The 15,312-nt window shown below is 40.4% G+C and overlaps 1 protein-coding gene across 25 annotated transcripts in view; it reads left to right on the forward strand.

Moving 5' to 3' along the window:
- The window catches only part of DNAH14 (dynein axonemal heavy chain 14), a 469,633-nt gene that overhangs the window by 443,028 nt on the left and 11,293 nt on the right, over positions 1 to 15,312 (forward strand). For all 25 annotated transcript variants that reach the window (XM_011544062.3, XM_011544067.3, XM_017000296.2 and 22 more), the window contains 4 exons: positions 2,007 to 2,204; positions 4,556 to 4,755; positions 7,478 to 7,641; positions 8,702 to 8,898. In XM_011544062.3, coding sequence (XP_011542364.1) covers positions 2,007 to 2,204; positions 4,556 to 4,755; positions 7,478 to 7,641; positions 8,702 to 8,898 — 759 coding nt within the window. The remainder of the gene's footprint in view (positions 1 to 2,006; positions 2,205 to 4,555; positions 4,756 to 7,477; positions 7,642 to 8,701; positions 8,899 to 15,312) is intronic.

Below are 15,312 nucleotides of genomic sequence, written 5' to 3' on the forward strand. Positions count from 1 at the left end.
CCAGAACCATAAAAGAAAAGATAGGCATATTTGATTACAAAAAACTTTTATATGGTAAATGGTGGCAAAATAAAGTCAATGGACAAATGCCAGATTTAGGATAATGCAAATGACTGACAGAGAGTTAATATCTGTGACATACAAAGAGCTCTTATCTATTAACAAGAAAAAGACCAACAAGCCAAAGGAAAAACAGGCGGTGTATAGAGGATTGTACTTAAATGACCAACGGACATAAGAAAAGATGCTCAAAATAACCAGTACTAGTAGGTGAAATACAAATTAAACTAACAGCAAATGTACCGCCCATGAGACTGGCAAAAATTAAATAAACCAACATTTCCTGTTAGTGGCAGGGATGAGAGAATAGTAACAAAAAAATTCCTTCACACACTGTTAGTGTAAATATGAATTCTTACAGCCACTGAACATTGATAGCCGATGTATTGTCCAATTGCGGCACAGTGTGTATGCTAAACTAGCATTTGTGGAAAAAAAAAAAAAGACAGGAAAACAGAAAGAAAGGGGGAGAGGAGGGCCGGGCGCGGTGGGTAATCCCAGCACTTTGGGAGGCCGAGGCCGCCAGATCACGAGGTCAGGAGATCGAGACCATGCTGGTTAACACAGTGAAACCCTGTCCGAGCGTGGTGGTGCGCGCCTGTAGTCCCAGCTACGCGGGAGGCTGAGGCAGGAGAATCGCTTGAACCCGGGAGGTGGAGGTTGCAGTGAGCCGAGGTCGCGCCACTGCACTCCAGCTGGGCGACAGAGCAAGACTCCGTCAAGAAAGGAAGGGAGGAAGGGAGGGAGGGAGGGGGATAGGAAGAGGGAGGCGGAGGTGATAAATAGTTGAAGAGCACAGGGAGGATAGAAAGAAGGGAGAGGAGAAGCGAAGGAAGGAGAGAGAAGAAAAGAAGTCAACCTATGTGCAAATAGAATGTCTGTGTAAGGATACACAAGAATTCTGTCAATGGTGGCCTCAAGGGAGAGGATCTGACGGCTAAAGTCGGGAGTGGAAGAAAACTTACTTTCTCTTGTTTGTTTTTGCGCTTTTTGAATTCAGTACCACGTGCCTGCTTTGCCTATTCAAACAACAGCAATTAAACAGCTCAATGCCTGTTCAACAACAACAAAAAAGAACTAGTGGATAAAAGTGTATGTCCCAGGGCAGGCACGGTGCCTCATGCCTGTAATCTCAGCACTTTGGGAGGCCAAGGCAGGCGGATCGCTTGAGCGCAGGAGTTCCAGACCAGCCTGGGCAACATGAGGAAAGCCCATCTCTACAAAAAAATACAAAAATTAGCCAGACAGGGAGGCTGAGGAAAAAAGCTGAGGTGGGAGAATCGCCTTAGCTGGAGAGGTCAAGGATGTAGTTAGCCAAGATCACACCACTGCACTCCAGCCTGGGCAACAGAGTGAGACCCTGTCTCAAAAAAAAAGGTGTATGTCCCAATATTTGTGTCTTACTATATATATATATATATATATATATATATATATATATACTATTCTAGTAAATATAAACTATTCTAGTAAGACAAATGAAATATATATAATATATATATTTGTCTATATATATATATATATATATATTTTTTTTTGAGATAGAGTCTCACTCTGTCGCCCAGGCTGGAGTACAGCGGCCTGATCTCAGCTCACTGTGATCCCCGCACCCTGGGTTCAAGTTATTCTCCTGCCTCAGCCTCCCAGTAGCTGAGATTACAGGCACATGCCACCATGCCCGGCTAATTTTTGTATTTTTAGTAGAGATAGGGTTTCACCATGTTGGTCAGGCTGGTCTCGAACTCCTGACCTCAAATGATCCGCCTGCCTTGGCCTCCCAAAGTGCTGGGATTACAGGCGTGAGCCACTGCACCTGGCCTATTTCTATATATTTTTTAAAGAGAAAATATATGTAGCTGTTTGAGAGTTGATTTTATGTTAAAAAGTCAGAGTGAGTAAGCTGGAAACACATACTGAAATAATAAAGACTCATGGGTTTTCCAAAGGTTGCCATTAAGGTGTTGGAAAATTCCCTGAGAGGACAGCCCAGCATTTCGTGGCAAGCACTGCGCTACCTGATTGGAGAAGTGATTTACGGTGGCCGGGTGATTGATAATTGGGACAAGCGATGCTTGAAGACCCTACTCTACAAATTTTGTAATCCTGAAGTGCTGAAAGATGACTTCAGTTTCTCCAGTGATGGGGTAGGAAAAGAATCAATCTTCTTGCATTTCTCGATAATTTTAAAGTAAACATTGTTGCTTTATTTAAAATACATATTTAAATAAATTTTGATGTTCATTTTTAAAGGCTTTTAGTAGCTTTCAGTAGTATGGAAGTAATTTACCCATGACTCTATTAAACACAACATTATGCAGGGCAGTAAACAAAAAGAATGATTTAAAAATCGTTCATGTCCTCCGAGAACGTAGAGTGTAAGATGCAAAGCACAAGGAAGCTAACATTTATAAATCAACGATTCCATGCCAGTCACTTGATATATGTTTCTCATTTAATGCTCAAAATAACCATGGGGAATAGATGCTGTTATGTTTCCAGAAATCCCACATCTCTTGTTTATCCCCTCTTCTCCCCCTCAGTTTCTATCCTCTATCCAAGCCTTCACATTTGTGGAGCAGAAAACTCCATATTAGACACCAGCAGCTGTGTGTGCCTGTTGAGTGGCTGCTAGCAGAGGAAAGAATCCTACAGACCTCTGACCTTAGACTGTAGAGGGTTGGACTTGACATAAACTTTGATGGGTGGGAATTTGGATAAGAGAGGTGAATGGAAGATGAAAAGGAAGACGACAGCTGTGGGTGATCATTGTGAGCTGGGAGTGGGCCTGGTATCATCAAGAGAAAGAGAGGTCATATCCAGGTTGTCTGTCTGAGGTCTTGAGGATATGGATAGATAAACAAAATAGTAAAAATATTTTAGGGAGATTCATTTGTAAGGCATCTATAGAATGGATAGCAATGGTCTATGTTGATGACCCTGAGTCAATAAGAAGGCATTAAATTATATCCTTTATGCACTATTTGCTAAGGCAGAAAAAGCTATGAGGGCTTTTTTTTTTTTAAGATTTCCATCAAAAAACAACAACAACAACAAGTGTCTTAAGGCCGGGTGCGGTGGCTCATGCCTGTAATCCCAGCACTTTGGGAAACCGAGGCAGGTGGACCACTTGAAGCCAAGAGTTGGAGAGCAGCCTGGCCAACATGATGAAACCCTCATCTCTACTAAAAATACAAAAATTAGCCAGGCATGATGGTGTGCACTTGTAGTCCCAGCTACTCAAGAGGCTGAGGCCCGAGAATCACCCGAACCCAGGAGGTGGAGATTTCAGTGAGCCGAGATCACACCACTGCATTCCATCCTGGGCATCAGAGCAAGATCCTATCTGAAAAAGAAGGAAAAAAAACTGTTTAAAATAACATTTTAGTTAAATTTAGGATTCTTTGGCCAAATGTGGTGGCTCATGCCTATAATCCTAGCACTTTGGGAGGCCGAGGAGAGTAGATCACTTGAAGTCAGGAGTTCGAGACCAGCCTGGCCAACATGATGAGACCTTATCTGTACTAAGAATACAAAAATTAGCCAGCCATGGTGGATCATGCCTGTAGTCCTAGCTACATGGGAGGCTGAGGCATGAGAATCACTTGAACCCGGGAAGCAGAGGTTGAAGTGAACCGAGATCATGCCAGTGCACTCCAGCCTGGGCGACAGAGCAAGACTCCATCTCAAAAAAGAAAAAAAAGTTTAGGGTATTTTAAATTGCCCAAAGAATACAATGTGCATGGTTTTGTACAGAGTATTACATTAAGTATGCACTAAGAGAATAAGGTATACTGTAACATACAGCATACAATTGCATTGGCAGAATTATATCAGATGACAGAAGGGTATTCTGAAATTTGTATTTCAATTGTTCAGTTGCTTTAAAACACTAGGAATTTTATGACAGTTCCAGCTTGCCAGCTCTTCCTGTTTTTTGTTATAATCTTGCTTCTTCTGCAGGTAATTTTTTTAATCAGTGACTGTTATTTGATTTTTCCCTCTGACCTTCATTAATTCTTCAACATTTTCCTTAATGATATCAAGAAAGCCACCATCACCCACTTTCCTGACCATATGAACAATGCATTTCTCTTCTTGGTCAGTGGTCAATTATTCTTAAGATCATTCTCACATTCCTTCTATAGGTTTCACTAAAGTAAAATGATTTGTTCAAGCCTTATTGCATTCATTATCTATGGGTGGTCAGAATCACCCTCACCTTTAAAGCGTTTTTTTTTTCTTTCTCTCTTTTCCCAAAAAGAAAGTTATACATGCATATCATATGCACATTACAATACAGTAGTCCCAAATGTTGCTTTTGACAGTGTCTATAATATACCACATGCAAATAAGAAAGCCTTCGGTATAAAATTTCATGGGAAAATATTGTCTTCAAGCATTACTGAAAGTAGGTATCTTACTCTGGCAAAAACCAACAAAGTGTTCAGAAGTAGCAGGATTGAAGAAAAAAGCTAACAAAATGTTAAATTTTCAGATATGTCTGCCAGTTCCAGGATCTGCAAGCATAAAGGACTACATACACATTATCCAGTCCTTACCTGATGATGACCTTCCCGAGGTCTTAGGAATACACCCAGAGGCCATCAGGAGCTGCTGGGAGACCCAGGGCGAAAAGTTTATTGAAAATCTGATTGCCATGCAACCAAAAACTACCACTGCCAACCTCATGATCAGGTAAGAACTCGCTAGGAAAAATTGTTGGTCAAAAATTATCAGGCTGGGTCTGGCAGCTCATGCCTGTAATCCCAGCACCTTGGGAGGCTGAGGTGGACAGATTGCTTGAGCTCAGGAGTTCGAGACCACTCTGAGCAACATGGTGAAACCCTGTCTCTACAAATAATACAAAAATTAGCTGAGTGTAGTGGTGAGCACCTGTAGTCCCAGTAACTTGCGAGGCTGAGACCCTGTCTAAAAAAAAAATTCATTTGAAGAGATATATAGAAAAGTATAGTCTACATGGTAAAGAAACTAAATTCTACTTCAATGAGTTCCTTATGTATTTAAGTTCTAATTTTTCAATTTGTACGTCTAACAAATTTTAACACTTTTAAAAGATATTTGAATGTTTGACCCCATTTATAAGCTTAAACATTTTCAAATATATTAATATTCATTATAAAGTTAATGTACTTCAATTTGTCTTCCAGACCTTCTCAAATCTTTGAGTAACTTTTATAAATCTAATAATCAAATAAATATGGTGAATCTTAAATTTTCTTGTTCCCTAATATTTTATATCAATCTAACAAGATTTCAACCTAAAATCATAAATCAGTTTCTCAATTATCTCTTTTAATTGGGGTCACAAGACTGACCCCAATCTAACACAAGGTATTACGAGGCCCAATTCTCTTAAACATTACAAATATTTAAGATACCAACATATTATAAGGAAATGCTTTTAATAAACATACTAGATATGCTTATTAATGTCCCTTTGGTCACTTTGAGAGGCTATAATTATCCCAGTCTTGCTGCCTTTGCTTATTAGAGACTTGTCTGTGGGACTTAATCCAAACATCTATCATATTCAATGTAATTTCCTTAGTGGTAGCAAATCTTTGCCCTCTGAAGGTAAGCTTGATTTTTGACACCTTTTGACCTTTTGAATTATTTGAAGCTACCTGGGTTGAATTCTAAGGAGAAAATCAACTTTACAGTCAAAACAGTGTGATGACAAAGTAAGGAGCCATGTGACCTCAGGCGATCTGTAAACTGGTTTGGAAGCAGCACTGTTGGACTAAATACTTCTTGGCAGCTTTAAGGTTATTGCTTACCTTGAAGGATAATATTCATTTGACTGTGAAACCTGGAGTGTTTGTTGAAAAATCAGTCCTGGCCGGGCGCGGTGGGCTCACGCCTGTGATGCCAGCACTTTGGGAGGCCGAGGCGGGTGGGTCACGAGGTCAGGAGTTCAAGATCAGCCTGGCCAAGATGGTGAAACCCCGTCTCTACTAAAAATACAAAAAATTAGCCAGCATGGTGGTGAGCACCTGTAATCCCAGCTACTCGGGAGGCTGAGGCAGAGAATTGCTTGAACCCGGGAGGGGGAGGTTGCAGTGAGCCAAGATAGCAACACTGCACTCCAGCTGGGGTGACAGTGCAAAACTCCGTCCCAAAAAAAAAAAAAGAAAAGAAAAAGAAAAATCAGTCCCGGCTAGTAAATAGAGCAGCAGAACTCAAAAGAGATGTGCCCCATTTCCTACTCATCCACTAACTGTCTAAGGAGGTCCTCCCACCTCCCGGGGCCCTGGTTTCATCATCTTTAAAAGGATTCCAAAGAGCTCTTCCAGCTCTAGTGTTTAGTGGTTTTGCATAGTATCGCAGCCTCACCTAGGCCTGGACACGCGCTCCTCCTGTCACCACCCGCGGAGTGTGTGATTAAGAAGCCCTTCGTGTCAACACAGGAATGAGGCAAGCAGTGGAATGTTCCATGCGGCTGCTTCAGCGTGCTCTGTTTAGTTGCCTCCTCTTTTTCATTGTCTTGCAGATGCATGCAGATGATTATTTTACAAAGAAATCCTAAAAAAGCTTTTATAATACATATTTCCTTGCAAATGTCTAAAGTACATTGGACAGTTTCTCATCTACAAAATGAAATGAATTCCATGGTCTCTGTAAGATCATCCATAGCATAATTTTGTGGTTCTGTGAAGATACATTTATCTTCAGACGGAACTTAAGCAGAGGACCCTCTAACATTAGATAGATCTGTAGCTTGTTTTTCTCTTGATTTCTTTTATTTTATTTTCCTTTCCTTTTCTTTTTTTAAATTTTTTTTTTGAGATAGAGTCTCGCTCTGTCACCCAGGCTGGAGTGCAGTGGCATAATCTTGGCTCACTGCAACCTCTGCCTCCCGGGTTCAAGTGATTCTCGTGCCTCAGCCTCCTGAGTAGCTCAGACTACAGGCGCCCACCATGCCTGGCTAACTTTTGTATTTTTAGTAGAGACAGGGTTTTACCATGTTGGCCAGGCTGGTCTCAAACTCCTGACCTCAAGTGATCTGTCTGCCTCGGCCTCCCAAATTGCAGGGATTACAGGCATGAGCCACTGTGCCCAGCCAATTTTTATTTTTTTAATTGACATAATAATTGTACATATTTCTGAGGTACATAGTAATGTTTCAATACATACAATGTATAGTGATCAGATCAGGGCAATTCATATGTCCATCATCTCAAACATTTATCCTTTGTGTTGGGAACTTTCAGTATCCTCTCTTCTAGCTATTTGAAGATGTATAATCTATTTTTGTTACCTATACTCATCCTACAGTGGTATAGAACACTAAACATATTCCTCCTGTCTACCAGTAATCTTGAATCCTTTAACAAATCTCTCCCCATCTCCCCACTTCCTGTTCTGTGTCTCATTCTTCTCTTGGTTTTTTTTGCAGACCTGAGCAGAGTAAGGATGAACTGGTGATGGAAATTCTATCCGACTTGCTAAAGCGGCTGCCACTGACAGTGGAGAAAGAAGAAATTGCTGTTGGAACTCCAAGCACATTGAAGAGCATGATGTCAAGCTCCATTTGGGAGTCTCTTTCTAAAAATCTCAAAGGTGAGCATGGGACAGGAGCTTTTTCCCCTTACCTCACTCTCCTCAAGAAAGGACTCTGGTGTCAGGAGTAAGGTAAAGATAAGACAAAAATTCTGTAGAAGTGAAAATACTGAGATAAGATGGAAAACTCAGTCTCTGCCTCCTCTCTCCAAGTTGAAAGACAGAGAGCACAGAAGAAAATCACGCTTTAGTTTGGGGGTGGGTAGCGTGTGGCACTGAAATCAAAAGTGAAGAAATAACAAGTGTAGCAAACTAGAAAGCAGCAACTCTGCTTTGGAGATTGTCAAGAGTTCTAGGTGCCTGTTCTCTCTGCCTCTCTGCCTTCTGGAACAGCGGAAGTTTAGATGGACCTTCTGCTGAAAGACCACTTGACTCCAAGAAGCTAAGGGGAATCAGGGCAGGCCCAGGAAGACAGAGGAAGCCTGATTGCCCAGAGATGACTCCAAACCCAGCTCTAAGTGGCTAAATTGCTAGACTATGATAATTTTCCCAGTTAAATTTTAATACCCATATTTTATCCCTTTGCAGAAGTTTATTTGGGAACCAAATATTGAGCAATAGTTTATCAAAACAGTGTCATTGTTGAGTCTCAATCAAAGGTCAGCAAATTAGGGCTCGCAGGCCAAATCCAGCCCACCATTTGTTTTTGTACAGCCTGTGAACTAAAATGGCTTTTGCATTTTTTAATGGTTAAAAAAAATCAAAAGAAGGAATATAGTTTGTGACACATAAATGTTATATGAAACTCCAATTTGAGTGCCATAAGTAAAGCTTTACTGGAACACAGCCACACTTACTCATGACATATTGTCTATGCATCCACACATAGTAGATAGTGTGGCCGCACCCACACTACAAGGGGAGAGCTGAGTAGCTTTCACAGAGGTGGTGTGGTCCCCATACCCTAAAATGTTTGCTATCTGACCTTCTACAGAAAATGTTTATCAACCCCTGGTCAAGACACACAAAATTCCCTTAACTTTCAAAGCCTAAGTCCCTCCATGTAAAGCCTCTTTTTAATCTGTAAAATATCAAAATTTTATTTCTTTTTAAAATCCAGATCACGACCCCCTTATCCATTGTGTCTTGCTAACCTTTTTGAAGCAAGAAATTAAACGATTTGATAAGTTATTATTTGTCATACATAAATCCTTAAAAGATCTTCAGCTTGCTATAAAAGGAGAGATCATCCTCACCCAAGAATTGGAGGAAATATTTAACTCTTTTCTTAATATGAGAGTGCCTACATTGTGGCAGGTAAGCAATTATTATTATTTCCTATTTTCTTGCTTGCTTGAAATAAATGTCCAAGTTCAAGGGAATGGTGAAGGTAAATGGTGCATCTGTGTGATGAAATATGTAACTCTTAAAAGATGCTGACGTACTTTTTCATATTTTCACATCTCTGAAGTTGGAATGCCTCTTAACAGTCACTGTTAGCCAGGCAGCACCATCACTTAGTTCTCACTATCTGTGTATGTGAACTATGTATCATGGCAGTTCATGTCAAAGTAGGTGCACTCTTGGTATTACTATAAGTGTTGAGTTTAATTGCTTTTAAAATAAAAACAAAGCTAAACAAGATGATGAAGAAATTACTGGGTCATGGTCTTAAACAGAAGACCAAATTGTAAAAACACAAAATGTATTAGACCAGGAATAAAATAAGCCATGGAAGATCTGGCAGCACAGAGTAGGAAATTAACAAGCTTGATGTTGGACACAAACACTATTTCTCCAGAAATGAACTTCTCCCCTTAGGATTAGCACTGGCCTTTTCCAGAACCCTGAATCCTATACCAGATTGAAAACCTGTGTAGACATGTGAAAAGATGTTCAACAGCATTTGCTTTGAGGGAAATGCAAATCAAAACCACAATGAGATACAACTTCACACCTACTAAGATGGAAAGAATTAAAAATACATAAAAACAAGCATTGGGAGAAATTGGAACCCAAATGCACCACTCATGGGAATGAAAAATGGTGCAGCTACTTTGGAAATAGTCCAGTAGTTCCTCAAAAAGTTAAACAGATTTACCATTTGACCCAGCAATTTCACTCCTAGGAATATATCCAACAGAAATTAAAGCATAAATCCAGGCCGGGCACAGGGCCTCATGCTTGTAATCTCAGCACTTTTGGAGGCCAAGGTGGCGGATCACCTGAGGTTAGGAGTTTGAGACCAGCCTGGCAAACATGGTGAAACCCCGTCTCTACTAAAAATAATAATAATAATAAAATGGCCAGGCATGGTGGTGGGTACCTGAAATCCCAGCTACTTGTGAGGCTAAGGGAGGAGAATTGCTTGAACCCAGAAGGCAGAGGTTGCAGTGAACTGAGATCATGCCATTGCACTCCAGCCTGGGCAACAGAGGGACACTCTGTCTCAAAAAAAAAAAAAGTCCACCCAAAAACTTGCACATGAATGTTCATGGCAGCATTATTTGTAATACCCAAAAGGTGAAAACAACTCAAATGTCCATTGACTGATGAATGGATAAAATATGGTATGTCCCTGTAATGAAATATTATTCAGCCAGCAAAATGAATGAAGTACTGATACAGGCTATCACATGGATAAACCTTGAAAACAGTAGTTCTTCTGTGCTAAGTGTAGGAAGGCCATCACAAAAGACCATATATTGTATGATTCCATTTACAAGAAATGTCCAGAATAGTGACAGAAAATAGATTATTGGTTGCCTCAGTTTGTGGGTGACAGAGAACTGGAGAATGGATGCTGAGAGGGTTTTCTTTTGGACTCATGAAAACGTTCTACAATTGACTACAGTGGTAGTTGCACAACTCAGTGATTATACGAAAAACCATTCATTTGTACACTTTAAATAAGTAAGTTGTATGGCATATGAGTTATATCTCAATGAAGTTATTTTTAAAACCTAGGTAGAAAACATGAAGACAGACGAGAGGAAATAATAACAATTATAATTCCTTAAAATTGAATACAAGCTGTGATGAAAAATTGAGATGTGGAGACACATCCGAATCACAGGACTTCAGAGCTCGAAAGGATCTTAGGGAACCCCCACTCCAATGACCTTATTTTACAGATATGGAAACTAAAAAGCAGAGAGGCCTTATTACATTCTTAGCAAGCCCCGTGGTGAAACAGCTAGGACTCCACACGTGCAAAGTTAGGCTGAAAGAACAATGATGAGTTGGTACACTGTAAGTACAGTCACATGTGGCTGAGACCATTGCTCACTTGACAGAGTGACAAGAGGTGAGATGAGTCAGGTAGAAATGTCCGGCTTGGACAAATGGGTAGGAACTAGCACATTCAGAGACGAGGTGAGCAGAAAGACGTGCTGTGTGAGAAACAGATGAAGACATCCTGTTTTGGACATGGAAAGTGTGAGAAGCTAGAGGGGCTCTCAGGTGGAGCTACTGAAAGGCAATGGGACTGATCTTAGTTATTTCTTGCCTTCTGCTAGCTTTTGAATGTGTCTGCTCTTGCTTCTCTAGTTCTTTTAATTGTAATATTACAGTGTCAATTTTAGATCTTTCCTGCTTTCTCTTGTGGGCATTTAGTGCTATAAATTTCCCCTACACATTGCTTTAAATTTGTCCCAGAGATTCTGGTATGTTGTGTCTTTGTTTTCATTGGTTTCAAAGAACATCTTTATTTCGGCCTTCATTTCGTCATGTACCCAGTAGTCATTCAGGAGCAGGATGTTCAGTTTCCATGTAGTTGAGCGGTTTTAGTGAGTTTCTTAATCATGAGCTCTAGTTTGATTGCACTGTGGTCTAAGAAACAGTTTGTTACAATTTCTGTTCTTTTACATTTGCTGAGGAGTGCTTTACTTCCAACTATGTTGTCAATTTTGGAATAAGTGCGATGTGGTGCTGAGAAGAATGTATATTCTGCTGATTTGGGGTGGAGAGTTCTGTAGATGTCTATTAGGTCCGCTTGGTGCAGAGCTGAGTTCAAGTCCTGGATATCCTTGTTAACTTTCTGACTTGTTGATCTGTCTAATGTTGACAGTGGGGTGTTAAAGTCTCCCATTATTATTGTGTGGGACACTAAGAACAGAGCAGAACTGAAAGAGATAGAGACACAAAAAAACCTTCAAAAAATCAATGAATCCAGAAGCTGGTTTTCTGAAAAGATCAACAAAATTGATAGACTGCTATCAAGACTAATAAAAAAGAAAAGAGAGAAGAATCAAATAGATGCAATAAAAAATGATAAAGGGGATATCACCACCGATCCCACAGAAATACAAACTACCATCAGAGAATACCATAAACACCTCTACGCAAATAAACTAAAAAATCTAGAAGAAATGGATAAATTCCTGGACAGGTACACCCTCCCAAGACTAAACCAGGAAGAAGTTAAATCCCTGAATAGACAAATAACAGGTTCTGAAATTGAGGCAATAATTAATAGCCTACCAACCAAAAAAAGTCCAGGACCAGACAGATTCACAGCCAAATTCTACCAGAGGTACAAAGAGGAGCTGGTACCATTCCTTCTGAAACTATTCCAATCAATAGAAAAAGAGGGAATCCTCCCTAATTCATTTTATGAGGCCAACATCATCCTGATACCAAAGCCTGGCAGAGACACAACAAAAAAAGAGAATTTTAGACCAATATCCCCAATGAACATAGATGCAAAAATCCTCAATAAAATACTGGCAAACCGAATCCAGTAGCACATCAAAAAGCTTATCCACTATGATCAAGTTGGCTTCCTCCATGGGATGCAGGGGTGGTTCAACATACACAAATCAATAAACGTAATCCATCATGTAAACAGAACCAAAGACAAAAACAACATGATTATCTCAATAGATGCAGAAAAGGCCTTCGACAAAATTCAACAACCCTTCATGCTAAAAACTCTCAATAAACTAGGTATTGATAGGATGTATCTCAAAATAATAAGAGCTATTTATGACAAACCCACAGCCAATATCATACTGAATGGGCAAAAACTGGAAGCATTCCCTTTGAAAACTGGCACAAGACAGGGATGCCCTCTCTCACCACTCCTATTCAACATAGTTTTGGAAGTTTTGGCCAGCGCAGTCAGGCAAGAGAAAGAAATAAAGGGTATTCAATTAGGAAAAGAGGAAGTCAAATTGTCCCTGTTTGCAGATGACATGATTGTATATCTAGAAAACCCCATCGTCTCAGCCCAAAATCTCCTTAAGCTGATAAGCAACTTCAGCAAAGTCTCAGGATACCAAATCAATGTGCAAAAATCACAAGCATTCCTATACACCAATAACAGACAAACAGAGAGCCAAATCATGAGTGAACTCCCATTCACAATTGCTTCAAAAAGAATAAAATACTTAGGAATCCAACTTACAAGGGATGTGAAGGACCTCTTCAAGGAGAACTACAAACCACTGCTCAACAACATAAAAGAGGACACAAACAAATGCAGGAACATTCCATGCTCATGGATACGAAGAATCAATATTGTGAAAATGGCCATACTACCCAAGGTAATTTATAGATTCAATACCATCCCCATCAAGCTACCAATGACTTTCTTCACAGAATTGGAAAAAACTACTTTAAAGTTCATATGGAACCAAAAAAGAGCCCACATTGCCAAGACAATCCTAAGCCAAAAGAACAAAGCTGGAGGCATCACGCTACCTGACTTCAAACTATGCTACAAGGCTACAGTAACCAAAACAGCGTGGTACTGGTACCAAAACAGAGATATAGACCAATGGAACAGAACAGAGCCCTCAGAAATAGTGCCACATATCTACAACCATCTGATCTTTGAGAAACCGGACAAAAACAAGCAATGGGGAAACGATTCCCTATTTAATAAATGGTGCTGGGAAAACTGGCTAGCCATATGTAGAAAGCTGAAACTGGATCCCTTCCTTACACCTGGTATAAAAATTAATTCAAGATGGATTAAAGACTTAAATGTTAGACCTAAAACCATGAAAACTCTAGAAGAAAACCTAGGCAATACTATTCAGGACATAGGCATGGGCAAGGACTTCATGACTAAAACACCAAAAGCAATGGCAACAAAAGCCAAAATTGACAAATGGGATCTAATTAAACTAAAGAGCTTCTGCACAGCAAAAGAAACTACCATCAGATTGAACAGGCAACCTACGGAATGGGAGAAAATTTTTGCAATCTACCCATCTGACAAAGGGCTAATATCCAGAATCTACAAAGAACGTAAATAAATTTACAAGAAAAAAATCAAATAACCCTATTAAAAAGTGGGCAAAGGATATGAACAGACACTTCTCAAAAGAAGACATTTATGCAGCCAACAGACACATGAAAAAATGCTCATCATCACTGGCCATCAGAGAAATGCAAATCAAAACCACAATGGGATACCATCTCACACCAGTTAGAATGGCAATCATTAAAAAGTCAGGAAACAACAGGTGCTGGAGAGGATGTGGAGAAATAGGAACGCTTTTACACTGTTGGTGGGACTGTAAACTAGTTCAATCATTGTGGAAGACAGTGTGGCAATTCCTCAGGTATCTAGAACTAGAAATACCATTTGACCCAGCCATCCCATTACTGGGCATATATCCAAAGGATTATAAAGCATGCTGCTATAATATAAAGACACATGCACACGTATGTTTATTGCGGCACTATTCACAATAGCAAAGACTTGGAACCAACCCAAATGTCCATCAATGATAGACTGGATTAAGAAAATGTGGCACATATACATCATGGAATACTATGCAGCCATAAAAAAGGATGAGTTCATGTCCTTTGTAGGGACATGGATGAAGCTGGAAACCATCATTCTGAGCAAACTATTGCAAGGACAGAAAACCAAACACCGCATATTCTCACTCATAGGTGGGAACTGAACAATGAGAACACTTGGACACATGGTGGGGAACATCACACACTGGGGCCTGTCATGTGTGGGGGGGAGGGGGAGGGATAGCATTAGGAGATATACATAATGTAAATGACGAGTTAACGGGTGCAGCTCACCAACATGGCACATGTATACATATGTACCAAACCTGCACGTTGTGCACATGTACCCTAGAACTTAAAGTATAATAATAAATAAATAAATAAATAAATAAGAAAAGCAATGGGACAAGAGCACGGGCTGCAAAGCGAGCGCTTGGTGTCATCAGCCTAGACAGAGCCATGGATTAAATCTGGGAGAGGGAATATAAAGTAGCAAGAGAAGAGGGCTGAAGGGATTCCAGGCAACACCAGCCTCAAGGGAGGGAAGAAGAGGTGCCAATGAATGAGACCTAAAAACAAGTAGTTGGAGAATTCAAGAGAAAGCCAGGATGGAGTCTAGTCACAGAAGCCTAGGGGAGAAAGCAGGAGGAAGTAATGAGCGCCGTCAAAAGCTGCAGAGGATACAGGTGCAGGGAGTGAGGCTTGAGTATGGAAAATAGAAGGTCGCTTGTGATTTCTAATGAAGACTCCAGAAGAGGGGACAGTAAACAAAAGGAGAAAGGGGCTAGAGGGCTGCAAGGGTCTCCTCCTCCCCACTTGCAACAAACAGGTAGGATTGAGTGTTGGGTGGTTTGTGCAGTTAAGATGCAAGGGAGCGTTAATAAACAGGGCTGGAGAATGGAAAGCTGAATCCACAAGGGGCAGGGGCAGGGGCAGCTGGGCTCAGAACTGGAAGGCAAAGGTAGGTAAGGGAGT

Source organism: Homo sapiens, chromosome 1 (genome assembly GCF_000001405.40).
Source record: "Homo sapiens chromosome 1, GRCh38.p14 Primary Assembly".
Lineage (NCBI taxonomy): Eukaryota > Metazoa > Chordata > Mammalia > Primates > Hominidae > Homo > Homo sapiens.